Genomic DNA, 6,657 nt, shown 5'->3' on the forward strand with positions numbered 1-6,657 from the left:
TTGGATAAGCATTATATCAGAACTATTTTGTTTCTTTTTTTGACTTATGTGTACATTGGATAAGTGTCTTTTTGGTCAGGGCCTGTTTTATTTGTCCATAGGAAGATCTAGGGCATCACTATTTGTCAGAAAGAGGAAATACAGGCATGAAACCAACAGGACAAACTTTATTACTTTAAGGATTTTCCTTCTTAGTGTCTGTCAAGGGCTTATGACCAGAAAGAGTTGTCCAGTCTATGGAGCTGAATTGTATTAACTTTAGAGATTTTACAGCAACTTGAATTTTGTTTACAATCGGTTCTTATGTGTTTATCTTGATGTATAAAGTTGCAACATGTTTGACAGATTTAAGCATATACTTCTTTTTGAGCAGTCAGCAGATAATTATAGACTATTTGATTTCTTTCTTATTTTGTAGAGAAGGGGTTCTCCCTACCTTTCCCAGGCTGGTCTCGAACTCCTGGGCTCAGGCGATCCTCCCGCCTTGGCCTCCCAAAGTGCTGGGATTACAGGCATGAGCCACCACATCCAGCCAGACTATTTGATTTTTTAGGATGCTTCCTAAGAAAGGATCCATCCCTCGCTTCCTTCCTTCTTTTTCCTATCGAGGGATAGTATACATATTACAGATTTCATAGCCTATATTAATCCTGAGTACTTGATGGATTTTTACATAGGTACACATCCATGTGACCACCATCCGAATAAAGAAAGGGGACATTGACAGCAAGCCAGCGAGCCTCTGTGTGCCCCTTTCCCATCTATACTATCCTCCTATTGGAGGTAACTACAATTCTGATTTTTTTTCTTTTTTTTTTTTTTTTCAGACAAGGTCTCCCTCTGTCGCTCAGGCTGGAGTGCAGTGGTGCAATCACGGGTCACTGCAGCCTGGACCTCTGTGGCTCAAGAATTCTGATTCTATTATCATCAGTTTTGCCTGTTCTTGTACATACAGTGTGTGCTCTTGTGTGTGGTTCCTTTTGTTCAACATTCTATGTTTTTGAGCTGCATCCATGTTGTTGAGCATACAAACAGCTGTTTTGACGTTGTTGTCATTGTGTTGTATTCCATTGTATGACTATGCTACCGTTTATCTGTCTGTTGATGAATTTGAGCTGTTTCCAATCATTGCCTATTAACAAATAAAGTGGCTAGTAACATTCCTGTACATATCTATTTGTGCAGCCATTCTCTTGGGTACATACTTAGGGTTAGAATTGTTAGGTGAGAAGGTAGGCACATATTAAGTGTTAGAAAAGTCTGCTAACACATTCCCAGAGGTTGTACAATTTTAGACTCCTACTGGCAAGATCTGATGTTCCAGTTGCACCAGGGCCTTGTGAACCCTTGCCACTGTCTGTCTTTTAAATGTAGCCATTCTGAGGAGTGTGTTTTGGTATTTCCTTGTGGTTTCAATTAGTATTTCATGGCTACTTGATTTTGTGGGTCTACTCTACCCAGGCTTTTCACTTTTTGTCTGAAAAGCCTTATATTCTGTGTAATGAAATACACCAGTGTTTAAAATTGTTTCTGAGATGACTGGACAGCTTTTACCCATTTGCTTACTTCCGGTCTTGGCATCACTATTCTCATGGCATTAAGAATGCTTGTGTGTGTGTGAGGCTGGGCGTGGTGGTTCATGGCTGTAATCCCAGCACTTCGGGAGGCCGAGGTGGGTGGATCACTTGAGGTCAGGAGTTCGAGACCAGCCTGGCCAACATGCTGAAAACCCGTCTCTACTAAAAATACAAAAATTAGCCGGGCCTGGTGGTGCATGCCTGTAATCCCGGCTACTCAGGAGGCTGAGGCAGGAGAATCGCTTGAACCCAGGAAGCGGAGGTTGTAGTGAGCTGAGATTGTGCCACTGCACTCCAGCCTGGGCAACAGAATGAGACTCTGTCCCAGAAAAAAAAAAAAAAGAATGCTTGCACGCGCATGAGTCTGTGTGTGTGTGTGTGTGTATGTGTGTGTGTTGACATCTGGTAGGTTTCTGTTTCAGAGTTTTTCTTTTCTTTCTTTCCTTTCTCCCTCCCCTCCCCTCCCTTTCTTTTGAAAAGGGTCTCACTCTCACCAGGCAGGAGTGCAGTGGTGCCATCACCACTCACTGCAGCCTCAACCTCCCAGGCTCAAGCAATCCTCCCACCTCAGCCCCGTGAGTAGCTGGGACTACAGGAATGTTTGCCACCATGCCTGGCTAATTTTTTATATTTTTAGTAGAGTTGGGGTTTTGCCATGTTGGCCAGGCTGGTCTCAAACTCCTGGCCTCAAGTGATCCACCCAGCTCAGCCTCCCTAAGTTTTGGGATTACAGGTGTGAGCCACCGTGCCTGGCCTTAGTCCCTCTTTAATAAGAACATTAACCCCACTCATGAGGCTCTGCCCCAGTGACCTAATCACCTCCCAAAGGCCCCACCTCCTAATACCATCACCTTGGGGGAGAGAATTTCAACATAAGAATTTTTGGGGGATACAAACATTAGGCCATAGAAGGTGGCTATTGGCATAGGATGGTAGGTACTTCATGCACGCAACAGGGGGTATAAATTTGTGTAGTTTTTCCTGGAGGGGATTTTAGCAGTCTCTATAAAAAATTCTAAAGTGGGCTGAGCTCAGTGGTTCACGCCTGTAATCCCAGTACTTGGGAAGGCTGAGGTGAGCAGTTTACTTGAGGCCAGGAGTTTGAGACCAGCCCGGCCAACGTGGTGAAACCCAGTCTCTACTAAAAAAATACAAAAATTAGCCAGGTGTGGTGGTGTGTGCCTGTAATCCCAGCCACTTTGGAGGCTGAGGCAGGAGAATTGCTTGCACCAGGGAGGTGGAGGTTGCAGTGAGCCGAGATTGCACCACTGTACTCCAGCCTGGGTGACAGAATGAGACTCTGTCTTGAAAAAAAATTTTTTTAAAGTGCCTATTGTTCAGTACAGCAGTCCACTTCTAGTTATTATTCCACAGAAATACTTTATCCTATGGAAATATTCTATTCCTTGAAAATATTCCATGTGAGCCCAAAGGTATTTAAGTAAAGTTCATATACAATGTCCATCATTGTTTGTAATGAAGAAAAATAGAAGCCAGGCACAGTGGCTCACACTTGTAATCCCAGCACTCTGGGAGGCCCAGGCAGGTGGATCACCTGAGGTCAGGGGTTCAAGACCAGCCTGGCCAATATGGCGAAACTCCGTCTCTATTAAAAATACAAAAATTAGCCGGGCGTGTTGGTGGGCGCCTGTAATCCCAGCTACTCAGGAGGCTGACTGGAGAATCACTTGAACTGGGGAGGCGGAGGTTGCAGTGAGCCGAGAACGTGCCACTGCACTCCAGCCTGGGTGACAGAGAGAGACTCCATCTCAAAAAAAAAAAAAAGTAGGAAACTGCCCATATGTCCACTGATAGAGGCATGGTTAAACATTATTTGGTATGTGGTATTATGTTATTTTTAGAGACAGGTCTTGCTCTGTTGCCCAGGCTGGAGTGCAGTGGTGTGATCACTGCAGCCTCGCACTTCTGGGCTCAAACGATCCTCCCACCTCAGCCTCCCAAGTAGCTGGGATTACAAGTGTGAGACAATGTGCCTGGCAGCACATGGTATTAAATACTGTACCTCAGTCAACAAGGATGATGAATGGTCATTAAAAATCTTCAATACTTACTAAGTTCAAAATGCAAGTAGAAGAATAATAGGCATAACACAATTCCATTTATATAAAAATAATGCACACTGCAAAAGAATGAAGTTGGACCCTTACCTAACACCATATACAAAAAATAACTCAAAGTAGATCAAATACCTAAATGTAAGACCCAACACCACCACCACTCTCAGAAGCAAACGTGATAAACATGACATTGGATTTAACAGTGAATTCTTAGATATGTGTGACACCAAAGGCACAGGCAACAGATGAAAAAATAGACAAATTGCACTACATGGAAACTTAAAAGTTTTTGTGCCTCAAAAGACACTATCAACAATGTAAAAAGGCAACCCAAAGAATGGCAGAAAATATTTGTAAATCATATATATCTGATAAGGGATTATCATCCAGAATATGTAAAGAGCTCCTAAAACTCGGCCGGGCATGGTGGGTCACTCCTGTAATCCCAGCACTTTGGGAGGCCCAGGTGAGTGGATCACTTGAGGCCAGGAGTTCGAGACCAGCCTGGTCAACATGGTGAAACCTCGTCTCTACTAAAAATACAAAAATTATCCAGGTGTGGTGGCATGCGCCTGTAATCTCAGCTACTTGGGAGGCTGAGGCGGGAAAATCACTTGAACCTGGGAGGCAGAGGCTCCAGTGAGCTGAGATTGCACCACTGCACTCCAGCCTGGCCTGGGTGACACAGCGAGACTCCATCTCAAAATACAAACAAACAAACAAAAAACCTCCTAAAACTCAACAACAACAAAATCAATCCAATTCAAAAATGGACAAAGAACTTAAATAGACATTTCTCCAAAGAAGGTATGCAAATGGCAAATAAGCACATGAAAAGATGCTCAACATCAAGAATTATTAGGGAAATGTAAATCAAAACCACAATGGGATAACACCTTAAACCTATTAGGATGTTACTATCAAAACCAAACCAAAACAACAACAACAACAACAGATAAAATAAAATAAAATAAAAAGAACCCAGAAAATAAGTAATGGCAGGAGTGTGAAGAAATTGTCAGTCTTGTACACTGTTGGTGGAAATATAAATTGATAAAGCTGCTATGGAAAACAATGTGGCAGTTCCTCAGAAAATTAAAAGTAGAATTACCATGTGATCCAACAATTCTATTTTTGGATATATACTCAATATAATTGAAAGCAGGATACAGTCATGTTCATAGCAGCATTATTTACAGTAGTCAAAAGGTGAAAGCCAACCAAGGGTCCATCAGTGAATGACTGGATAAGCAAAATGTGGTATATCTATACAATGGAATATTATTTATGCTTAAAAATAGGGAAATTCTGACACATGCTATGATATAGGTGAACCTTGAGGACATTATGCCAAGTGAAATAAGCCAGTCACAAAAAGACAAATACTGTATGATTCTACTTATATGAGGTACCTAGGAGTATCAAATTCATAATAGTGGTGGTTACCAGGGGCTGGAGGAAGGGAGAAATGTTTATTGTGATTGTTACTATTTAATGGGCACAGAGTTACTGTTTAGTGGGTACAGAGTTTCAGTTTTGCAAGATGAAAAGTGTTACGGAGATGGATGGTGGTGATGGCTGCACTACATTATGGATGTATTCATTTATTTTAGAGACAGAGTCTCACACTGTTGCCCAGGCTGGAGTGCAGTGTCTATAACCTTCAGCTCCTGGACTCCAGCGATCCTCCCACCTCAGCTAGGACCACAGGAATATGCCACCATGCTCAGTAATTTTCTTTTCCTTCTTTTTTTTTTTTTTTTCTTGTTTGTAGAGATAGGGTCTTGGTATGTTGCCCAGGCTGGACTTGAACTCCTGGCCTCAAGTGATCCTCTCGCTTCAACCTCCCAAAGCGTTGGAATTAAAGGTGTGACTTACTGTGCCAGACCTGAATATATTTGATAATACTGAATTGTAAACTGAAAATGGTTAAGATGGTAAATTTTATGTTAATGTGTATTTCGCCACAATAAAAAATGGAAAATATGAAAAATGTACACATGGGTTTGTTTATTTATTTATTTTGAGAAAGAATTTTACTCTTATTGCCCAGGCTGGAGTGCAATGGCGCCATCTTGGCTCACTGCAACCTCTGCCTCCCAGGTTCAAGTTATTCTCCTGCCTCAGCCTTCCAAATAGCTGGAATTACAGGCTCCCGCCACTATGTCCAGCTAATTTTTTTGTATTTTTAGTAGAGACAAGGTTTCACCATGTTGGCCAGGCTAGTCTCGAACTCCTGGCCTCAAGTGATTCCCCCCGCCTCAGCCTCCCAAAGTGCTGGGATTACAGGCATGAGCCACTGCACCAAGCCACATAGGTTTATTTTTATATATACATATACATGTCTATAAATGTATAAAAAAAGGACTAGAAGGATACACTCCAAACTGTTAATAGTTGTCACTTCTGGGAGGGGGTTAGTGAGTGTCTGGAACACACTGGGGGATGGAAGGAAGACCTTTTGCTTTTTTTTTTTTTTTTTTTTTTTTTGAGACAAGGTCTTTGTCATCCAGGCTGGAGTACAGTGGTGCAATCATAGCTCACTGGAGTCTCGAACTTCTGGGCTAAAGCAATCCTCCCACCTCAGCCTCTTGAGTAGCTGGGACTACAGGTGTATGCCATCCTACCCAGCTAACTTTAAAATTTTTTTTGTGGAGACAAGGTCTCACCTTGCTGATCAAGCTGGTCTTGAACTCCTGGCCTCGAGCAATCCTCCTGCCTTGGCCTCCCAAAGTGCTGGGATTACAGGCATGAACCATCATGCTTGGGCCCATCTTTTGCTTTTTTTTTTTTTTTTTTTTTGAGATGGAGTCTCGCTCTGTCGCCCAGGCTGCAGTGCAGTGGCACGATCTTGGTTCACTGCAACCTCTGCCTCCTGGGTTCAAGCAATTCTCCTGCCTCAGCCTCCTGAGTAGCTGGGACTACAGGTGTACACCACCACACTCGGCTAATTTTTTTGTATTTTTAGTAGAGACGGGGTTTCACCATGTTGGTCAGGCTGC

This window comes from Homo sapiens, chromosome 1 (assembly GCF_000001405.40).
Source record: "Homo sapiens chromosome 1, GRCh38.p14 Primary Assembly".
NCBI lineage: Eukaryota > Metazoa > Chordata > Mammalia > Primates > Hominidae > Homo > Homo sapiens.